This window comes from Homo sapiens, chromosome X, assembly GCF_000001405.40.
Source record: "Homo sapiens chromosome X, GRCh38.p14 Primary Assembly".
Taxonomy (NCBI): Eukaryota; Metazoa; Chordata; class Mammalia; order Primates; family Hominidae; genus Homo; species Homo sapiens.
Genome location: NC_000023.11, coordinates 43,701,471 through 43,726,185, shown reverse-complemented (window position 1 = coordinate 43,726,185; position 24,715 = coordinate 43,701,471). Strand labels below are relative to the sequence as shown.

Below are 24,715 nucleotides of genomic sequence, written 5' to 3'. Positions count from 1 at the left end.
CATCACAAAGATATTCCTCGAAAAGAGCAACCCCAAGACACATAATTGTCAGATTCACCAAGGTTGAAATGAAGGAAAAAAATGTTAAGGGCAGCCAGACAGAAAGGTCGAGTTACCCACAAAGGAAGACCCATCAGACTAACAGCAGATCTCTCAGCAGAAACCCTACAAGCCAGAAGAGAGTGGGGGCCAATATTCAACATTCTTAAAGAAAAGAATTTTCAACCCAGAATTTCATATCCAGCCAAACTAAGTTTCATAAATGAAGGAGAAATAAAATCCTTTACAGACAAGCAAATGCTGAGAGATTTTGTTACCACCAGGCCTGCCTTGCAAGAGCTCCTGAAGGAAGCACTAAACATGGAAAGGACAACCAGTACCAGCCACTGCAAAAACATGCCAAATTGTAAAGACCATTGATGCTATGAAGAAACTGCATCAACTAGCGGGAAAAATAACCAGCTAGCATCAAAATGATAGGATCAAATTCACACATAACAATATCAACCTTAAATGTAAATGGGCTAAATGCCCCAATTAAAAGACACAGACTGGCAAACTGGCTAAAGAGTCAAGACCCATCGGTGTGCTGTATTTGGAAGACCCATCTCACATGCAAAGACACACATAGGCTCAAAATAAAGGGATGGAGGAATATTTACCAACCAGATGGAAAGCAAAAAAAAAAAGCAGGGGTTGTAATCTTAGTCTCTGATAAAACAGACTTTAAACGAACAAAGGTCAAAAGAGACAAAGAAGGGCATTACATAACTGTAAAGGGATCAATGCAACGAGAAGAGCTAACTATCCTAAATACATATGCACCCAATACAGGAACATCCAGGTTCGTAAAGCAAGTTCTTAGAGACCTACAAAGAGACTTAGACTCCCACACAATAACGGTGGGAGACTTTAATACCCCACTGTCAGCATTAGATCAACAAGACAAAAATTAACAAGGATATTCAGGACTTGAATTCAGCTCTGGACCAAGTGGACCTAACAGACATCTACAGAACTCTCCACCCCAAATCAAGAGAGTATACATTCTTCTCAGTACCACATCACACTTACTCTAAAATGACCACATAATTGGAAGTAAAACACTCCTCAGCAAATGTAAAAGTACAGAAATCACAACGAACTGTCTGTCAGACCACAGTGCAATCAAATTAGAACTCAGGATGAAGAAACTCACTCAAAACCGCACAACTACTTGGAAACTGAACAACCTGCTCTTGAATGACTACTGAGTAATTAACAAAATGAAGACAGAAATAAAGATGTTCTTTGAAACGAATGAGAACAAAGACACAACGTACCAGAATCTCTGGGACACATTTAAAGCAGTGTGTAGAAGAAAATTTATAGCACTAAATGCCCAAAAGAGAAAGCAGGGAAGATCTAAAACTGACACCCTAATATCACAATTAAAAGAACTAGAGAAGCAAGAGCAAACAAATTCAAAAGCTAGCAGAAGACAAGAAATAACTAAGATCAGAGCAGAACTGAAGGAGACAGAGACACAAAAAACCCTTCAAAAATATCAGTGAATCCAGGAGCTGGTTTTTTGAAAAGATCAACAAAATAGACCACTAGCAAGACTAATAAAGAAAAGAGAGAAGAATCAAATATACACAATAAAAAAAGAAAAAGGGGATATCACCACCAATCCCATAGAAATACAAACTACCAACAGAGAATACTATAAACACCTCTATGCAAATAAACTAGAAAATCTAGAAGAAATGGATAAATTCCTGGACACATACACCCTCCCAAGACTAAACCAGGAAGAAGTTGAATCTCTGAATAGACCAATAACAGGTTCTGAAATTGAGGCAGTAATTAATAGCCTACCAACAAAAAAAATCTAGGACCAGATGGATTCACAGCTGAATTCTACCAGAGGTACAAGGAGGAGCTGGTACCATTCCTTCTGAAACTATTCCAATCAATAGAAAAAGAGGGGATCCTCCCTAACTCATTTTATGAGGCCAGCATCATCCTGATACCAAAACCTGGCAGAGACACAACAAAAAAAGAGAATTTCAGGCCAATATCCCTGATGAACATTGATGCGAAAATCCTCAATAAAATACTAGCAAACCAAATCCAGCAGCACATCAAAAAGCGTATCCACCAAGATCAAGTCAGCTTCCTTCCTGGGATGCAAGGCTGGTTCAACATATACAAATCAATAAACGTAATCCGTCACATAAACAGAACCAATGACAAAAACCACAAGATTATCTCAATAGATGCAGAAAAGGCCTTGGACAAAATTCAACAGCCCTTCATGCTAAAAACTCTCCATAAACTAGGTATTGATGGAACGTATCTCAAAATAATAAGAGCTATTTATGACAAACCCACAGCCAATATCATACTGAATGAGCAAAAACTGGAAGCATTCCCTTTGAAAACTGGCACAAGGATGCCCTCTCTCACCACTCCTATTCAACATAGTATTGGAAGTTCTGACCAGGCCAATCACACAAGAGAAAGAAATAAAGGTATTCAATTAGGAAGAGAGGAAGTCAAACTGTCTCTGTTTGCAGATGACATGATTATATATTTAGAAAGCCCCATCGTCTCAGCCCAAAATCTCCTTAAGTTGATAAGCAACTTCAGCAAAGTCTCAGGATACAAAATCAATGTGCAAAAATCACAAGCATTCCTATACACCAATAACAGACAGAGAGCCAAATCATGAGTGAACTCCTATTCACAATTGCTACAAAGAGAATAACATACCTACGAATCCAATTTATAAGGGATGTGAAGGACCTCTTTAAGGAGAACTACAAACCACTTCTCAACGCAATAAAAGAGGGCACAAACAAATGGAAGAACATTCCATGCTCATGGATAGGAAGAATCAATATCACGAAAATGGCCATACTGCCCAAAGTAATTTATAGATTCAGTGCTATCCCCATCAAGCTACCACTGACTTTCTTCACAGAATTGGAAAAAACTACTTTAAACTTCATATGGAACCAAAAAAAGAGCCCGCATAGCCAAGACAATCCTAAGCAAAAAGGACAAAGCTGGAGGCATCACGTTACCTGACTTCAAACTATACTACAAGGTTACAGTAACCAAAACAGCATGGTACTGGTACCAAAACAGATATATATAGACCAATGGAACAGAACAGAGGCCTCAGAAATAACACCACACATCTACAACCATTTGATCTTTGACAAACTGACAAAAACAAGCAACAGGGAAAGGATTCCCTATTTAATAAATAGTGCTGGGAAAACTGGCTAGCCATATGCAGAAAGCTGAAATTGGATCCCTTCCTTACACTTTATACGAAAATTAACTCGAGATGGATTAAAGATTTAAACGTATAACTTAAAACCATAAAAACCCTAGAAGAAAACCTAGGCAATACCATTCAGGACATAGGGATGGACAAAGACTTCATAACTAAAACACCAAAAGCAATAGCAACAAAAGCCAAAACAGACAAATGGGATCTAATTAAACTAAAGAGCTTTGGCACAGCAAAATAAATTATTATCAGAATTAACAGGCAGCCTACAGAATGGGAGAAAATTTTTGTAATCTACCCATCTGACAAAGGGCTAATATCCAGAATCTACAACGAACCTAAACAAATTTACAAGAAAGAAACAACCCTATCAAAAAATGGGCAAAGGATATGAACAGACACTTCTCAAAAGAAGACATTTATGCAGCCAAAAAACTTATGAAAAAATGTTCATCATCACTGGTCATTAGAGAAATGCAAATCAAAACCACAATAGATACCATCTCATGACAGTTAGAATGGCAACCATTAAAAAGTCAGGAAACAACAGATGCTGGAGAGGATGTGGAGAAATAGGAACGCTTTTACAATGTTGGTGGGAGTGTCAATTAGTTCAACCATTATGGAAGACAGTATGGTGATTCCTCAAGGATCTGGAACTAGAAATACCATTTGACACAGTAATCCCATTACTGGGTATATACCCAAAGAATTATAAATCATTCTACTATAAAGACACATGCACACATATGTTTATTGCAGCACTGTTAACAATAGCAAAGTCTTGGAACCAACCCAAATGCCCATCAATAATAGACTGGATGAAGAAAATGTGGCACATATACACCATGGAATACTATGCAGCCATAAAAAAAGGATGAGTTCATGTCCTTTGCAGGGACGTGGATGAAACTGGAAACCATCATTCTCAGCAAAGTAACACAATAAGAGAAAACCAAACACCGCATGTTCTCACTCATAAGTGAGAGTTGAACAACGAGAACACATGGACACAGGGAGGGGAACATCACACACCAGGGCCTGTCAGGGGATGGGGGGCTCAGGGAGGGATAGCATTAGGAGAAATGCCTAATGTAAATGACGAGTTGATGGGTGTAGCAAACCAACATGGCACATGGATACCTATGTAACAAACCTGCATGTTGTACACATGTACCCCAGCACTTAAAGTATAATTAAAAAAAAAAAAAGAAATTATGAGTTAGCTCCAAGTATGCTAATCCAGGTTCTCTCTAAGCATCAATAAGCTTCTTTCAATACCCATCTTCTCCTCTCCATCTTCATTGCCACAGCCCTGGTCCAGGCTACCAATATGTCCAGGCTATAGCAGTGGTGGCTCCTACTTGGTCATCTTGCATCTCCTCTTGTATCCTCCACACTATAGCCAATGAGGGCTTTTAAAAGTGCCAAACTCAAAAAACCCTCTGCTTAAAACCTTTCAACGATCTTCAGTGGAGAAAGGACAAATATTCAATGTGGCCCATAGATCCTGCACTATCAGCCTCTAGACCAGTCCTGCAAACTCCCCTTATACCACTTGCTCTTGTCATCACTATGGTCCAGCTACACTGTCCACTCAGTTGCTCAAACATGCCAATATCCTTCTCACCTCAAGGCCTTCACAAAAGCTTGTCCCTGTCCTCTATGCCTAGAAGATTCCATCACTGTACATCATCTACCCGTCCCTGTCTCCCCATTCCCCTGAGAACTTTGAGTCATTCTTGAAAGATACCATTCTTCCCACATCATCCAACCTTTCCTATCTCCCCACATACCTGTGGGTCATTTCTGGAAGGTAGCATCCTGCCACATACCATTGACTCTTCCTGTCTATCCCCTACTCCTCTGGTTCATTTCTGGATGGCACCATTGCCCCCAAAACATACACCCTTCCCTGCCTCCCCTCAGCAAGTGTGTCTCATTCCTAGAAGACAGTATCTCTGCAAACACATTTTCTATCTTCACATGTCCCCACTGACTCTGAAAGTCATTCCTAGTAGATACCATCTGCCTACACCATCCAATCTTCCTATTGCCACCCTAATACTATGGGTGATTTGGGGATATCATTACCTCCCCCCTCCCCCACCCCACAACCAAATTCCACCTTCACCATCTCTTCCAGAGCCTGTGTCACATTCCCGGAAGATATAATTCCCCCAACACTATCTAATCTCCCCTATCTCCCCCGTGCACCTGTGGGCCATTAGAGGCAGATATCATCCTCTCTACACCATCTACTCTTGCTGTCTCCCCTCTAAACCTATGGCTAATTCCTTGAATATACCATGTACCAACACTATCCAATCATAATGTCTCCCCTCAAGCCCTCGTGGCTCATTCCTGGAAGATGTATCTTGCTACAGCATTCCTGTTTCCTGTTTCCCCCATTCCCAGCTATGTCATTCCCGAATACCACCCCCCACAACGTCCATCCTTCCTGTCTCTCCCTACCACTTCCCATGTGGCTCATTCCTGGAAGATACCATCTCTCTAAACCCCTGTCTCCCTGTATCCCTGTGGGTTGTTTCTGGAAGATACCATCCTTCCACACCATCTGCCCTTCTTGTCTCCCCAGCCACCGCACCTGTGGCCCTCTCCAAAGCCAATCCACCCTGTCTCCCCCTTCTCCTGTAGGTCATTCCTAGAAGACACCATCCCCTAACACCACCCACCTTTCCTGCCTCCCCCAGTCACCACCTGTGTGGTTCATTCCTGGAAGATACCATATTGCCACACCATCCAACCTTTCTATTTCCCCCCTACTCCTGAGTCATATCTGGATGATACCACCCACTCCCTAAGACATCTACCCTTCCCTGTCTCCCCGCAGTGCCTGTGTCACGTTCCTGAAAGATACTATACCCCTACACAGAACTATCTACTCTTCCCTGTCAGTCATTTTGTTAGATAACATCCCCGGTCCTGTGTCCCCCTCGAAGCACCACCAGTGTGGTTCATTCCTGGAAGATACCATCCTGCCACACAATCCAACCTTCCTGTTTCCCCACTACCCCTCCGGGTCATTTCAGGATGATACCGCCTCCTCCCCAAAACGTCTACCCTATAGTGCCTGTGTCATATTCCTGAAAGATACTATCCCCTCTTACATTATTTACCCTGCCTTGACTCCCTCTGGGATCTCTGAGCCATCCTGGAAGATCCCATTCCCCTACGTCATCCATCATTCCCCCGCTTCCCCAATTCCGTAGTTCATTCCTGGAAGATACCATCTCCAATGCAACATTCATCCTTCTTCTCTATCCCCTGCCCTGTGGGTCATGCCTGGAAAATATCATTCTGTCATACCCTACCTGTCTCCCATCTACCCCTATGGTCCATTCCTGGAAGACACAATTCCCCCAAAACACCCACCTGCCAGGGTTTATTCCTGGAAGATACCATCCTGCTACACCATCCACCCTTCCGGTATCCCCCGGACCTCTAACCACCCTTGTGGCAGATTGCTGGAAGACACCATCTCTCTAAACCCAATCCACTGTTACCTACTGCCCCTGCGGGTCACACCAGGAAAATACCATCCACATCCACCTTCCATCCTGTCTCCACCCCCACTACTGCCAGTGTGCCTCATTCCTGGAAGATACCATCTTGCCACACCATGCAACCTTCCTATTTCCCTCTACCCCTCTGGGTCATTTCGAGATGATATAACCACATCTAGCCTTCCCTGTTTCCCCACAGTGACTATACCACATTCCTGAAAGATACTGTCACACCTCCCCCAACACTTCCACCTTGCCTTGTCTCCCCCTTTCCCCTTTGGGTCATCCAGGAAGATGCCATCTCCACATACCTCTTCCTGTGTCCCCCCAGGCACCACCAGGGTGGCTCATTCCTAGAAGACACCATCTCTCAAAACACAATCCACCCTGTGTCCCTCTGCCCCTTTGGGTCATCCCTGGAAGATACCATCGTGGTCATCTTCCACACTTCCTGTCTACTCCCTCTCCTCTGGGTCGTGGATGGAAGTTATCTCCCCCACCACTCCCAACCCTTTGGGTCACTACAGGAAAAACCATGCCTGCCAACAAGCCAATGTTCTCTGCATCCCCTAGCTCCTGTGGACCATTCCTGGGCGGTACCATCCCACCTCACCATCTACTCTTCATGTTTCCCTACTGCCCCTGTGACTCATTCCTGGAAAATATATCCTGCCACACCATTCATGCTTTCTCTCTCTGCCCTGTCCCTCTGGGTCATTCCACAACGATACCATGCCAGCCAACATCCCCCTGATGGTCTCCCCCACCACCCATAGTGTGACTCATTCCTGGAAGATACCATCCTGCCACGCCATGCAACCGTTGTATCTCCCCACTACCCCTCTGATCATTTCGGGGTGATACCACACCGTCCCTAAAACATCTAGGCTTCCCTGTTTCCCCGCAGAGCCTTTGTCACATTCCTGATATAACCCCCCCAACACTAATCCTCTGGCTCATTCCAGGATGATATCATCCCCCCACACTTCAACCCTTCCTGTTTTCCCCCACTACTACCCAGGTGTCTCATTACTGGAAGACACCATCTCTCTAAACCCAATGTACCCTGTCTCCCCCACTACTACCCAGGTGTCTCATTCCTGGAAGACACCATCTCTCTAAACCCAATGTACCCTGTCTCCCCCTGCCTCTGTGAATCATTCTTGGAAGATACCATCCACCCATACCTTCTGCCACCCCCTGCCTCTGTGAATCATTCTTGGAAGATACCATCCACCCATACCTTCTGCCACCCCCACCACTGTCATTTGGCTCATTTCTGGAAGATACCATCCTGCCACACCATCTAACCATTCTATTTTCCTGTTATCCTCTTGGTTATCTTGGGATGATACCACCTTCTTCCTAAAACATCTACCCTTCCCTGCCTCCTTGCAGTGCTTGGTTCACACTCCTGAAAGATACTATACCCCTTATATTATACAGTCTGCCTTGTCTCCCCCTTGGCTCTGTGGGTCATCCTGGAAGATACCATCTCCCTACCTCATCCATCATTCCCCCCCTCCCCAAATTCTATAGCTCATTACTGGAACATACCATCTCTTCTACTGTATCCATCCTTCCTATCTACCTTCTGCCCTGTGGGTCATTCCTGTAAAATAACATTCCGCCAAACCATCTACCCTACCAGTCTTCCCTCGACCCCAGTGGGTCATTCATGGAAGATACCATGACCCCCACAACCCCACCAGTGTGGCTCAATCCTGGAGGATACCATCCTGCTGCACCATTATCATTTCCTGTCTCCCCCATCCCTCTGGGTCATTGCTGGAAGATATCTCCATCCACAATGTCTACCCTTCAATTTTCCCCCATGACCCTGTGGGTCATTCCTGGAAGATTTCATTCCACCAAACCATCTACCCTGACTGTCTTCTCCCACACCTGTGGCTCATTCCCAGAAAATATACCCTGCCACACCAGTCAGGCTTCCTGTCTCTCCCCTATTCCTCTGGGTAATTCTTGAATGATATCATCTTGAATGATAACATCCACCTTTCTTGTCTCTTTCCGCCACCACCAGTGTGACTCATTTCTGGAAGATACCATCCTGACATGCCATGCAACTGTCCTATTTCCCTACTATTCCTCTGGGTCATTTTGGTATCACTCCCTCACAAAACATCTACCCTTCCCTGTTTCCCCCCAGAGACTTAGTCACATTCCTGAAAGATATAACCCCTTCAACACTATCCACCTTGTCCTGTTTACCCTTACCCCTGAGGGTTATCCTGGAAGATACCATTTCCCCCCACCATCACTCATCTTTCTTACTCTCCCAACCTTGTGGGTCATACCTGGAAAATACCATCCTGCCTCACCTTAACCACTTTGTGTCTCGCCCCATCCTTCTGTGTCATTGTTGGAATGTATTCCCCACAACATCCACCCTTCTTATCTTCCCCCAACCCTTTGAGTCACTCCAGGAAGATACCATGTCCCCAGTCAGGCCAACATTCCCTGTGTCCCCTTAGCCCATGTGGGTCATTCCTTGAAAATATATCCTGCCACACCATTCATGATTCCTGACTCCTCACTACCCCCTCTGGCTCATTCCTGTATGATATCACTTCCACAATATCCACCATTCCCATCTCCCCCCACCACTACCCTTTTGGCACATTCCTAGGAGATACCATTTGCCTAAACTTATTTCCCTGACTTCTGTGGGTCATTCGTGGAAGATACCATCCACATACACTCTTACTGTCTCCCACCCCCACCACTGTCACCGTGGCTCATTCCTGGAAGATACTATCCTGTCATTCAACTATCCTATCTCCCCTCTACCACTCTGGGTCATTTGGGGATGATACCACTCCCTCACCAAAACATCTACCCTTTCCTGCCTCCCTGCATTGCCTGTGTGATATTCCTGGAAGATACTATTTCCCCTACATTATCCACTCTGCCTTGTCTTTCTTTTGGCTCTGTGGGCCATCCTGGCAGATCCCATCCACCTAGCTCATCCATCATTCCCCTCCTTCCTCAATTTTGTAGTTCATTCCTGGAAGATACCATCTCCCCCATACCATCCATCCTTTATATCTACCCCCTGCCCTGTGGCTCATTCCTGGAAAATACCATTCTACAAAACCATCCACCTACCTGTCTCACCCCAACCTCGGTGGCTCATTCCTGGAAGATACGATCTTCCTACACCATCCACCTTTCCTGTTTACTTAACCCCACACATTCTGAAGACCATTCTTAGAAAATATCATCCTGCCTCACTATCTTTTCTTCCTATCTCCCCCTACCCCTTTGGGTGATTACTGGAAGATATCCCCCTTCACAACCTTTACCCTTCAGGTCACCCCCTTGCCCCTGTGGGTCATTCCTGGAAGATACCATCTCTCTATACCACCCATCTTCCCCCGCCACCAACCGTGTGGCTCATTCCTGGAAGATACCATCCTGCTACACCTTTCTAAACCCTCTGGGTCATTTCGGGATGAGACCACCTCCTCCACAAAACATCTACCCTTCTCTGTGTCCCCACAGTGCCTGTGTCACATCCCTGAGAAGTAACATGCCCTCCCCCTACAAACACAGTATCCACCCTGTCCTGTCTCCCCCCTTGGCCTTGTGGGTCATCCTGGAAGATACTATCCCCACCCTTTCCATGTCCCCGAAAACACCACCAGGGTAACTCATTCCTGGAAGATTCCATCTCTCTAAACACAATGTACCATGTTTTCTTCTGCCCCTTTGGTTCATTCCTGGAAGATACCACTCCATCAAATCATCTATCCTACTTGTCTCTCCCAACTCTTGAGGGTCATTCCTGGAAATACCATCCTGGTCACCTTCCACACTTCCTGTCTCCTCCCATCTCTTTTGGTCATTGCTGGAAGTTATCCGCGGCCCAATATCCACCCTTGCTGTCTCACCCCTGACCCTTTGGGTTACTCCAGGAAGAACCATGCCTGCAAACAAGCCCATCTTCCCTGCATCCCCTAGCTCCTGTAGACCATTCCTGGAAGGTATATCCTGCCACACCAGTCATGTTTCCTCTCTCTGCGCTACCCCTCTGGGTCATTCCTGTACAATCCTATGAGTCATTCTTGGAAGAAACCATGACCCCTCACCATCCACCCTTCCTTTCTCCCCCCTACCACTGCCAGTGTAGCTCATTCCTGGAAGATACCATCCTGCCACACCACCAAACCTTCCTATGTACCCTCTTCCCTGTGGACCATTCCTGGAAAATTCCATTTTGCCAAATGATCTACACCATCTGTGTCCCCTCTACCCTTGTGGGTCATAACTGGAAGAGACCATCTCCCTCACCCCATCCACCTTTGTATCTACCCCTTGCCCTGTGGGTCATTTCTGGAATACATCATCTTGCCTCACCATCTATGTTTCCTGTCTCCCCACCATCCCTCTGGGTCATTGCTGGAAAATTCCCCTTCCCCTAAGACATCCACCCTTCTGGTTTGGGTAATTCCTAGAAGATACCATCTCCATCCACACAAACCAACCTTCCCTTTCTCTCCCCAGAGAGAGAGAAATAGCTGGAAAATTTCATTCTCCCCACCCCACCCCCGCCCCATTTCCCCACCACACACACACACTACCTAATGTTGCCTGTTTCCCCTTGACTCTGTGGGCTATTCCTAGAAGATACCATACCCCCACAGGGATCCATTCTTGTTCCCCACTCCCTAACACTGTGGGGGCATTCCTGGAAGATGCAACCAGGCCACACCATTCACTCTTCCTATCTTATCCCTGCCTTTGTGGCTCATTTCTGGAAGACATATCCTGGTAATACCATCTACACCTCCTGTCTCCCCACTACACCTCTGGGTTGTTGGTGGATGATATCCCCGCAACATCCATCTTTCCTGCCTTCCCTTTGCCCCTTTGGGTCATTCATAAAAGATACCATCCCACCACACCATCAACCTTTTCTGTCTCCCCCACTATCCTGGTGGTTCATCCATGGCAAACACCATCCACTATACTTTTCTCCCCTCTGAACCTGTGGATCATACCTGGAACATACTATCTTCCTGCCCCATCAGTCCTTCCTATCTCCCCCTAATCCCTGTGGCTCATTCCTAGAAGACAAAATCCCCCAATGCCATCCACCCTTCCAGTCCCCATCTCGCCTTGTTTCTGTGGGTCTTTCCTAAAACACCACCCATCTTTCTCCATTATCCCTTTCTCCCTTCTTGCCCTTGTGGGTAATTTTTGGAAGATATCATTCCCTCCTCCCACCACCACTGTCCAACCTTCCCTCTCTCCCTTTGACACTGTGTGTCATTCTTAGATCATACCATCTGCCCCACTACTATCAACCCTATGGGTTACTCCTGGAAGGTACGATTTCTACCACACCATCCACCCTTCCTGTCTTTCTCCTGCCCCATGACTTATTCCTGGCAGATACTATCCCCCCAACTTCATCCATTCTTCCTTTCTCTCTCCTGTCCCTGTGTATCATTCCTGGAAGATACCATCGCCCTACACTGTTCACCTTTTCTGACTCCCCCCTGCCCCGATGGCTCATTCTTAGTTGATGCACTAACTCCTTAGTTTCAGGTTAAAGATTGCTTCATCAAAGAATGCTTCCTGTACCCTCAGACCATGTAAGGTTCTCCCTGTTACAGGAACTCTCCTAGCATTATGTAATTGTGCTCAAGGTCAGTCTTGCCTGCTAGAAAAACATAAACTCCATGAGGGTAGGGGCTATTCCTAAGAAGTTCACCCCCATTCCTCAGTGCCTGGTATGGTGCCTTCACATAGTAAGCCCCACATAAACTAATAAGACATGGTCTAATTGAACATTTTTATTACTACAGACTAGCTTTCCTCTCATTTCCTAGTATTCCACATCTATATGGGATTACCATTTTATTTTATTTTAAATTCCGGAGTACATGTGCAGGTTTATTAGATAGGTAAACATGTGCCATAGTGGTTTGCTGCACCCATCAACCCATCACCTAGGTATTAAGACCCACATGCATTAGTTATCTATCGTGATGCTCTCCCTCCTCCCACCACCTGACAGGCTCCAGTGTGTGTTGTTCCCCTCCCTGCATCCATGTCTTCTTAATGTTCAATTCCCACTTATGAGTGAGAACATGCGATGTTTGGTTTTCTGTTCCTGTGTTAGTTTGCTGAGAATGATGGCTTCCAGCTTCATCCATGTCCCTGAAAAGGACATGATTTCATTCTTTTTTATGGCTGCATAGTATTCCATGGTGTAAATGTACCACATTTTTAAAAAATATCTTTTCAAACTGCTTTTGTAGGCAACCTTTCAATAATATGAAAACACAATTATTGATTTTATTGCAGATCACACAATGCTTTCATTAAAAGAAGTTCTACTTCATTCACCCACTTTTCTTAATTTTTAGATTCATTTTCTGTTCTAACCTACTTTGAGGTGCCCTCAACATTGCTATTGACTGAAAGATTACTAGGTTTCCTCTTTTTTTCTGTAAGTTGTTAAGAAAAGCACTGCAGTTCAAGGCAAGATATAAAAGACGAGAAGGGAAGATAAAAAGTAAATTTTGAATGGTCAAGTCTACTTACTTTGTCCAGCAGATTTTGTCAATGAGCTCTTTCATGGTCATTTTGTCCCATTTGTCAGCATGTTGAGCCTCCCAGGGTGCATCAGTTGGAATCTGTAGAGAAAGGAAGTCCCCTCTCAGGTTTGATGGTAACTGCCACCTCTTCTCGGGAAGGCCCTCATGAAAACCTCTGAAAATGGGTCTCTTGGTCTCTGTGTTGAAATGTGTGATTGGCATAGAATTCTATATAGAGACAGGGAGTGGGGTAGAGTTCTTTGGATTCTGTGTCCTAATGCCATTGCCAAAACAATAATAGTAGTGATAATATTATATATGTCTATGTACAAATTTATATGTAATTATTATAATGATGACAATTATCATCATCATTGTTATTGAAAGCTAATAACCATTTTATGTCCCAAATTGATATTACAGAGCCTAAGACTAAGTAAAGAAGCTTTGGGGCAGCAAGTCCTTCTCTCCTTTACTATCTAAAATGGCATTACAGACAGACAGACAACTGTAAGTAGAGATACTTGGCAAAAATATGTCATATAAATGCTCAGTAGCATAGAGTTGAAGGCACACAGGCATTTGTATAAGAGAGTGGGTTGGTATGCTGGTTCCCTTGCTATGAGGTCTTGAGTAAATTACATAATCTCTGGGCACTCATTTTTCCATTTGTGAAGTGGAAATACGACCAACTTTGCAGTTTGGGTACATGGGAAATGATATGCATTGGTGTCCAGAGCAATGTTCCCTGCACTATGGAAGGATATTAAACAGTTGCCATTGTTATTTCAGTAATGGGTCATGTGCAAACTGAACACACATTTTACCTCCTTCCCCATGTTATCTATTGTCCTCCACAGATTATTGTAATCCAAATATGCAATGGGATTCCATACTGGTGGAAAGGCGCCCCGAAATGGATATGTTTTCCCCTAGAACATAAAAGCAAACAGAATCAATCAAAAAGAGTAATATCTTAAATTTGAATGGTGTTCTAAAACAACAAAAAAGCAACCAACCTAAGACTTGCAAAGTAACCAGACCCTCTACTGTGTCAGAAACATTACCTTTGATGGCAACTGAATACATTATACCTATACAGGCCCCAATTTAATAAAATGTGCAGAATCTCCCTGGTGCTGTGTTGGCTGGTTTTAATTTACAGTAAATAATAGCTTTAAATTTATTTCTATTTATTTGGAAATTATGCATAAATAAAGGTAGCATATCCTAGTATCTAATACTGGTGCTACAATATTCTCAACTCCTGAATTCCCATCTAATCTCTTGAGAAAGCTGTTCCCACTTAGACGAGAGCAGGATGATGACGTGGAGGACTGTCTTTAGACCACATATAGGACAAGAATAGCAAAGTGGAATGTCTTATACTGTGTTTTAAAGTCTACAAAGGCTTAATAAAGACTGGCTAGACTACAGACTATGCCTGATGTAAAGAATCAGATTATTAGCAGTGTGGAATATCAGGCACTTGCCACTGTGGGCCTGCCGAGCATCCATTCCCCTTTCCTGGTAGTATCCTGGTTTCTTTCTGGGAAATTGTCTCTCTTCTTTTCTGTATAGCTGTGTAGGCAGGATGGTCCCAGCTACCAGCTCCCATTACAGAAAATGATAGATTTTTTTTTTTTATCTCTACACCCCTACCCCCAGCTCCTGGTATAGCCTGGCTGTGAGCCTGTTATCTGAGCTTGGCCAGTCATACACTCTCAGAGGACTCTGACCATGGAGTGGGTCACCCACATAGAGAAGAAAGTAGACTGTGGGTTTTCTTTCCCCATGGCCAAGTGCTGAGCAGATGCTTCCTGCTACAAAGACTATGGCTATGGTTCCTGCCCCTAACTTGCCAGAGCTCTCATGCTCTTTGCTCATCCTCAAGTGTGGTCCTCCAGCCTCACATCAGTTCTGTAGGTCCTCTCATTTCCTTTCAGTACATTCCCTCTTGTTAGCCTGAGTTGGTTTCTATTGCTTGGTACCAAGACCTCTAATATGAAGATGGCTCATTCATTATTAGAAACCATTAACTTCATTTCATTGTGTAACAGCCAAAGTGCTAAGAGAAGCAATGGTGAGTAGAGGTGAGTCCCTAGGAAATAGACCAGAAATAGGTAGTTTATAAGGCCTTATTTGCTAATTTATTTTACTTTAAAAATCAATGCCTTGTAAATGTTCATAAGGCCAAAATCTTTTCTACCAGTATAATTTGCATGATAATTTGATTTTTTTAATTAAAACATTTACTTGTAGAAAGTCTACTGCATGCACTGCAGAATACTGAAAGCTGTATTGGATTTTTTAAAGGGCTAAAACAAAACTTCTGACCATCAGGGCAAGGACACAAGACATCACAAACACGTGTAAGCACACCTCCTAACTGAGTAAGAATATATGGCAGCCATTAAGTGACAGAGAAGTAATTTTCCCTTCCACATAGCAAATTCAAATAACCTTGGCAGAATATGTGATCTCGTTTCTTATCTGAAAATGTTATGTTGTAACGCTGCAATACAACTTTTTGAGACTCCAAATCCTTTATCATCATCACCACCATCATCACTAACATTTATTGAGATCCTTCTCTATGCCTGACACTGGCTAAAGCCCTTCATATGCATTATCTCGTGCAATGCTCACTCCAACCCTGTGAAGGCAAGCGCTATTGATATTTCCATTTTATAAATAAGGAAACTAAAGCCCAGCGGCAGTAGCTAGTACATCATAGAATGGAAATTTCCTGCTCCCAAAGCCTTTGCTCATAAAACATGCTTTCCTGCCTCCTATACAGTTGATGGAATGTGGAGATAGGTTTGTTCTAGAGGCATTTTTAAACTTCCAACTTTTTCTTTCCCAAAAGAAAGAGAACTTTGAAATGTGAAACTTAGAAATCTTCCACATGTACCTTTTCTGTTTCTAAGGAGTAAAAATAGAGACTTAAGAAGCTTCAGGGGTGGAAGACGACCACTGAGGGAACATAAACAGCTTTGGAAAATGCTAATACATACTCTGAGAGAAATGGGCAAAGACATTTTACATAGAAAACAAAAATAGCTATGGAGAAGAGAGGGGCTGAGGTTAAGTAATAGCTCAGGGGCAGCCTCAGAGCAGCTGGTCCTTGTTATAATTCCTCCTTTAACTGAAATCTGGAAAAATCTACATTTTCCTCCATAAAATGTACGTATAGTCAAGGAATAGTCTAATGCAAAACTGATCTTTGCTTTGGAAAAAAATTTTATTAAAAAACATAAATATTGCCCGGGAGGCTGAGGCAGGAGAATTGCTTGAACCCAGGAGGCGGAGGTTGCAGTGAGCCGAGATTGCACCACTGCACTCCAGCCTGGGCAACAGAGCGAGACTCTGTCTTAAATAAATAAATAAATAAATATTCTCAATAGTCTGGGAACATAAAGAAAAGAATTATAAATATAACTCAACAAAATGTGTCCCACATTCCTAACGAAGTTCTTCACAGAAAGATGCCAACTTGAGTATGATTTCACACAAGGTCCAAAGACCCCTTGATCTGAGCCTTGATAAACAGTGGTGGCAGGAGAAGTAAAGAGTTCAAGGAAAGAGGAAAATCTGGCCTGGCAATCATTTTAGAAATGGGAGCCACGGAATATTTTAAAAGAAGAGGCGGTGGCTCACACCTGTAATCCCAGCACTTTGAGAGGCTGAGACAGGCAGATCACCTGAGGTCAGGAGTTTGAGACGAGCCTGACCAACATGGCAAAACCCTGTCTCTACTTAAAAAAATACGAAAATTAGCAGGGCGTGGTGATGGGTGCCTGTAATCCCAACTACTTGGGAGGCTGGGGCAGGAGAATCACTTGAACCCAGGAGGCAGAGGTTGCAGTGAGCCGAGATCACGTCACTGCACTCCAGCCTGAGCGACAGAGCACGACTCTGTCTCAAACACACAAACAAACAAAAAAACCCGTCTCTACTAAAAATACAAAAAATCAGCCGGGCATGGTGGCAGGCACCTGTAATCTCAGCTACTCGAGAGGCTGAGGCAGGAGAATTGCTTGAACCCTGGAGGCGGAGGCTGCAGTGAGCCGATATCGTGCCACTACACTCCAGCCTGGGCGACAGTGCGAGACTGTCTCAAAAGAAAAAAAAAAAAAAACAACAAGAAGACCATAAAGGCCCATAACATAAACTTCTTTGCTGTTGATAAAGGATTTCATCAATTAGTTTCACCCCTATCAGTTTCTGGCTTCTCTGTTCTCGTTTCACAGAAAACCCAAACCTGCTAAAAAGAAATGCACATATGTGGGGAACACTTTTGCATGTGTGAATCCCTAAAGTAGTGCAGTAGGGGGGCCTGGAAGATGTCTTTTGGCTGAGTGAGAACTGCCTGACAGTGTGGACCCTCTCAGTCTCCAAAATGTGGTTCTATAGTATTCTCACCAAGGTGTCAGCAGTTTCTCAATACTAAGCCACTTCTCAGTAAGGAATGCCTTCATGACCTAAGAGGGTGAAGCAGGGGCTCTGGGAATACTTCCAAATGATTACTGCTCTTTAAAATTAAAGGAGAAAAATCTAGTGTAATGGTCAAGTTCATTTTGTACCTACACTCTGAAAGCTTACTAGTTTTCCAAAGTGGCCTTTAATCTCTAAAGGGCAGTGTCTTTGATACAGCAGAAATTGTTTATGTCAAGCAGAACGCAATGTCCCTGGAACCGTGCCCCAAAACACTTAAGTGACTTTGAGAAACTACATCTTCAATCTACTAATGTTCACAATAACAGGAGACTATTGCCAGGAGATGGCAGTTTATGGCTCCCACATAATTCTTTATTGTTGGTCCTATAAGATAAGCTAAGTTTATAGTAAGCAAAATAGCATTTCCTGATTGGCACGTTGGAGAGTTTGATCTCTCTGTACTTTTATATTTGAGTTAAGCAAAAGGAAGTGAGTGTTATTAGAGTATCATAAGTCACTGGGGAAGCTGCCAAATAGCCTTCTTTAATCATCTGGAAAATAAAAGAGTTATCTTCCAGATTAATTTAGAAACATGCCTGTACAGCTTATATGAATACCTTGAGACCCTTCTAGTCCCATTGTTTTGTGACAAAGCCTGTAAGATGAATCTTTTGATGATTTCTTTTCTATAGTTTATAACAATGCTTTAAATTTTAAAATCATCTAAGAAGAGACCCATTAAATAGGATGGTAGTTTTGTGTTGTATTAATAGTTTACAAAAGCATTATCTTCCTCTTTCCAAATGCAGGTATCCAAGCTCTCTTCAAACATACATAGCTTCACTCTATCTAGAAAAAGCCTTCATACCCTACATGGAGACGTCTGTCCTTTTCATTTGTCATCCTCTTTGCATTCTTTTAACAGTCCCACTCAAATGATGCCCCCATTGCCTTCATATCCTTCTGTTTTCTAAAATCTGACTTGTATCCTCAAAAGTCCGTGGATGCCCTTTTCTCTATGGTCACCAATGAGCTCCTTTTAGCCAGATATGAAGGGATGTATCCATCCCATTAGCACTTGGCTGCATCTGACACCACCCCATCAGATAGTGCTAGTTGTCCCAAGCCTCAGCCTAGTTCCCCAAGACCCCTCCTTCTATGATCCACTGAATCCCCCAGAGTCTGATCCTTAGCCTTTTCCTTTCCTTCTGCCCACCCCTTTCCCATTTCCCTGGGGAACTCATCCACCCTCAAATTTGTTATTATATTGGCACAGTCTTATGGTTTACATTTTTCATGCCTCTGCTCCATGTTTATGAATACCAAATTATCTATAACCTCTCACACCATTTCAAGGGCTGGCAGCACATTCCTATGTGTTTGCTTATGACCTGACACTTCATATTCTCAGCCTCTGTCTCAAGACTTGTACAGCTACCAATGCAATGGGCGCCTGAATTGTGTAGTCCTATCTCTGGAAAAATAGAACCATTAAACTCAGATATAAATGATGCCATACCATCAATAATGAAGGGTTTTATTTGTTTTTTTTGACAGGATCTTTCTCTGTCACCCAGGCTGGAGTGTAGTGTTGTGATCACAGCTCACTGCAGTCTCAAACTCTCAGGTTTAAGTGATTCTCCAGCCTCAGCCTCCCAAGTAAGCTGGGACTATAGGTGTGTGCCACTATGCATGGCTAATTTTTGTATTTTTATTTATTTATTTATTTATTTATTTATGTTGTAGAGATGGGGCCTCACTTTATTGCTCAGGCTGGTCTTGAACTCCTGGGCTCAAGTGATCCTCCTGTCTTGGCCTCCCAAACTGCTGGGATTACAGGCATGACCCACTGTGCCTGGCCCCAACAGTGAAGGGTTTTAAAAGAAATTTATGTCATCTTCTCCAAGGGATTCTAGTTATATACAGAAATTACAAACAAAACAGTTAAGATAGAAACAATAATGAGTTCTTCTGGCGGCTTTTGTGTAATTAAAGATAATTGACAGAGTTTTTTAAAAAAATAGTTTTCCTCTTTCACAGATGCCATTAACTCAGGAGAAACAGGAAGTGTGAAAAAAGATGAAAATATCACATTGTGAGGACAAATAGCTATTTAACAGCTTTATTAACATATCATTCACATATCCTATAATTCATCCATTTATAGTGTACAATTCAATGGTCTTTGGTATATTCACAGAGCATGCAACCATCATCACATCTCATTTTAGAACATTTTCTTTACCCTGAGAAGAAGCCCTTAATTATTAGTAGTCACTCTTCTTTCTCTGACACTGCATTTTGAAGAACTGCCAAACTATTTTCCAAAGTGGCTGCACCATTTTACATTTCTACCAGCAATGGGTGAGGTTTCCAATGTCGCCCCATCCTGCACAACACTTATTAATGTCTGCCTTTTTTATTACAGCCATCCTGTTGGGTGTGAAGGGATATCTCATTGTGGTTTTGACTTGCATTTCCCTAATAACTAATAACATTGATCATCTTTTCAGATGCTTATTGATCATGTGCATATCTTTTTTTTGGCAAAGTATCTATTCAAGTCCTTTGTCCATTTTTGAATTGGGTTGTTTGTCTTTTTATTATTGAGTTGTTAGAGTTCTTTATATGTTCGGAATACAAGTCCTTTATCAGATATATGATTTGCAAATATTTTCTCCCATTCTATGGATTGTCTTTTCAGTTTCTTGATGGTATACAAATGACAACACTTCAAAAACTTTTTTTGATGAAGACCAATTTATCTATTTTTTCTTCTGTTGCTTGTGCTTTCAGTATCATCAAATAAATCACTGCCTAACTCACAGAGATTTATTATTTTTTCTTCCAGGAGTTTTATATTTTTAGCTCTTATAGTTAGGTCTAAAATGAGTTAATGTTTGTGTATAGTGTGAGAAGAAGTCCAGCTTCATTCTTTTGCATGTGGATATCCAGTCGTTCCAACAACATTTGTTGAAATAACTTATTTTACTTTTTGCACTGAGTTGTCTTGCTACCCTTGACAAAAATCAATTGGGCATAAATGTAAGGGTTTATTTCTGAAATCACAGTTCTACTCCATTTACCTATATGTTTATCCTTATAGAAGTACACATTGTTTTTATACAAGTACACATTGTTTTAGCACACTAGCTTCATAGTAATTTTTGAAATCAGGAAGTGTGGGTCCTTCAAATTTGTTCTTCTCTTTTAAAACTGCTTTGGCTATTATGGGTCTCTCACATTTACATATACATTTTAGGATCAATCTCCCAATTTCTGCAAAAACTGTCAGCTAGGATCTTGAAAGGGATTGTGTTAAAAACGTAGTTCAATTTGGGAAGTATTGTCACCCTAACAATATTAAGTCCATGAACACAGGATGCCTCCATTTATTTACATCTTTAATTTATTTCAATGTTATTTTGTAGCTTTAGGTATATAAGTCTTGCACTTCTTTGGTTAAATTTATTGCTAAGTATTTTATTGTTTTTTGATGCTATTTTAAGTGAAGTTGTTTTCTTAATTTCATTTCAGATTGTTCATTGCTACTGTATTAGAAATAAAATTTATTTTTGAATATTGATCTTGTATCCTGCAACCTCGATGAACTTGTTTAACAGTTCTATGAATTGTTTTAGTCAGTATCAGGATTTTCTATATACAAGATCACATCATCTGCAAATACAATTTTTCTTTTTTTTTTTATTTCTTGCCTAAGTGCCCTGGCTAAAATCCCTAGTACAATGTTAAATACAAGTGGCCAGAGTAAATATCTTTGTCTTGCTCCTGATTTTAGAAGGAAAGCTTTCAATCTTTTACCATTGAGTATTATGGTAGCTGTGGGTTTTTTGTAGATGGCCTTTATTAGGTTGAGGAAGTTCTCCTCTATTCTTAGTTTTTCTAGTGGTTTTATCATAAAAGGATGTTGAATTTTGTCAAATGTTTCTGCTCCGTCTATTGAGATGATCACGTGCTATTGGTCCTTCATCCTATTAATATGGTGGTGCATTACATTATTGGATTTTTGTATATTAAACTAACCTTTCATTCCTGGAATAAATCCTACTTAGTCATGGTGTATAAACCTTTTAATATATTGCTAGATTCAGTTTGCTAGTATTTTCTTGAAGATTTTTGCATCTCTATATAGGGATATTGGTTTGTAGTTTTCTTGTGATGTCTTTGGTTTTGTTATTCGGGATAATACTGGCCTCATAGGATGAATTGAGAAATCTTTCCTCCTCTTGTATTTTTTTGGAAGAGTTTATAAAGAATTGGTATTAATTCTTCTTTAAACTTTTGGTAAAATTTACCAGTAAAGCCATTTGTGTCTGGGTTTGTTTCTGTGGGAGATTTTAAATTACTAATTCAATCTCTTTCCTTATTATAGGTCTATTCAATTTTCTATTTATTCCCGAGTAGTTTTGGTAATTTGTGAACCTAAATCTCTAAAAACACTTCCTGTGATAGCATCTCTTACTCTGATCTTTATAGGTGTTATATGAAAATAGTTTCCATGGTCATAAGTCTGGGAAATCCTGGTTTGTGTTCAATAGTCTTTTTTTATTGCCAGGCTTCCTAGGACTCCTAATTTGTTAATGGGCATCTTGACTATCAAAGACAGGGATAGGATATGGAGCACTTCCAAAGTTTATCTGACCACCAAATGCCCTGTTTTTGCAAAGTATTTTTAAGATTAATGTTGCTTAGAAAACACTTGAGAAATATTCCCCTAGGCATTCTTCACATTCTGGCTTGCACTGGCAGAAGTATGACATAACACAGGAAAATATGCGATGAAATAGAAGCTGTGACAACCAGAATGTTTATTTTCCAAATGTTACACATGGGAATACAATGTCATTTGTATCCCTTCTGGACAAAAGGGCACATCATTCCACAACAACGAGGAGAAAGGAAGGAAATTGCTTGTATATCTAGCTAAAATTGCAAGTGCATCATGGGCTTCATGCTGAGTTTCTGCCCTTAGCCCGTCCTCCTCGTAACAAGACAGTGCAGTGAGAAAGTACATAAGAGCAGGTAGAGAGGGGCAAAGGGCAAAGCAGAACTTCTTGTCAGCTAAGCTGTTAAGTGAGTGCATCCACCTTGTGTATCACAGTGTCTGGGAGGATGTGGCCCTGCCCCCTACTACTAGATGAAGTTACTTCAGTGATGGCTTTATAACCATGATGGCAGAGATAGGGTGATGGCATGGAATGAAAGGGTGGATGAACTAAGAGCCATTATACTCTTAGCACCATCTTCCCAGCATTTAAACATCAGAATAGTATTTTTTTTTTAATCTACAGATTAGGAAAAGTCACAGATACTCAGGACTACTCGACTGGTGGATGCTCAAATAATTATGTCAATTAGTGACTGCACCCATGTCTGTGTCCCAGGGTCCACTTTTGTCACCCACTGCTGGTCCGCAAGTGTGAGCCACAGTGATTTCCTCCCATTGTCTCTGAAGCCTGATTTTTTTTTTCAGAGACATTTATCTGCTAGATATGGCTATGGAAACTAGGCTACTGTGTACTTTGGCAAATATACAAAATTAAATCTCAGCCCAAGGTTCAGTGTGTATCATTTGAGTCTTACAAATTACAGGAGAGCTATGGGAATGAAAGGTAATAGAATAGTTTACTAATCATTCTTTTTGTTTGAAAAACCTGACATGAGAAATTTTCTGAATGAAAACGATTCAGTTTCACAGCCTTCAGGATCAAAGCATTCACTACACTGAACTATAATTAACTCTCAAGTTTTCTGTGATTCCATCAAGAATTTTCTTCTTCTGGTTACATAAAACCCAAACACAAAGCAAAAACTAAAATGAAGTGTTATGAAAATAGTACTGGACTGTCAAATATCAGGTATTGACATTATTATCATTATTTGTCTCTTTTCAGTTTGAAGCTCTGTGTTTGCAAAGGTTAGTAATTAACTAGGCTTTTATGCCTGTCCCTCTTTCTCTCTCACTTCTGTAGGACCTTGAACCACTCTCATTATTATAACTTTCTCTTATCTCTAAAGTAGGAATAACTGTCACTTACTAAAACTCTGTGGCCCAGCAGGTTTTCAAAAGGTATCTGTTCATTGAATTTGACATAGAAATGAAAAAGGTTTGAGTCTGCACGTGATACAGAGGGTTACATGGCAGCATCGATCCTATTAGGCAGCAGGATGAGGCAATGACAGAAAAGGTTTTCTAGCTGGCTCAACATGTGATCATGAGACAACTGAATTTCCCTTCTTCAGGAAGTGCCCAGAATGGACTAGATATGGGATTCATTGGACGTTAGAGGCTGTTTAAGATTTCAACTGTTAGAAGGCTACTTTGCAAAAGTTTGAAAATTAAAGATCAATGATTGAGTCTTTTGATTGGAGTAATGTGCATGCCACTGAGGTGAGGACAGGGGTTGCTGAGAAGAAATAGGAAGGAAGTAGAAAGCAAGGAAGAAGGAGGAGATTTTAACCTCTGAGAGGCAACTACATTTTAACCTGAAAGGTCAGAACCTCCAGGAGTTCAGTTATTATGGAGACTAGAGCAATTTCTCTTGAGGAAGCTGCTCATATAATGTTTAATTCCATTCACAAAGTTCTTTTGGCCATTAACCCAAATACTGAGGCACTACATGATTATGTGTGATCACAAAGTCCCTCAGCCTGAGTGTGAGAGAAATCCTTTGTGTCTGACTTAACCCCCTTTCTGTGCTGCCAGTGGGAGGGTGATGCTAGGTTACTTCTCAATGAATGGTTAGAAACAATTCCTGTAGTGAATTAGTCCCTATTAGAAATGAATGGAAGGAAGATGAGAGGGGTTCTGTTGGATGGATGGTGGCGACAGTGGCACAACAATGTGGATGTACTTAATGCTACTGAATTAA

At 41.9% G+C, this 24,715-nt stretch overlaps 1 protein-coding gene across 2 annotated transcripts in view; it reads right to left on the bottom strand.

Annotated features, from left to right (window-relative positions):
* The window catches only part of MAOA (monoamine oxidase A), a 91,812-nt gene that overhangs the window by 20,632 nt on the left and 46,465 nt on the right, over window positions 1-24,715 (bottom strand). For both annotated transcript variants that reach the window (NM_001270458.2, NM_000240.4), the window contains 2 exons: window positions 14,210-14,314; window positions 13,390-13,481 (listed from right to left, as the gene is read on the bottom strand). In NM_001270458.2, coding sequence (NP_001257387.1) covers window positions 13,390-13,481; window positions 14,210-14,221 — 104 coding nt within the window. In that variant the 5' untranslated portion in view covers window positions 14,222-14,314. The remainder of the gene's footprint in view (window positions 1-13,389; window positions 13,482-14,209; window positions 14,315-24,715) is intronic.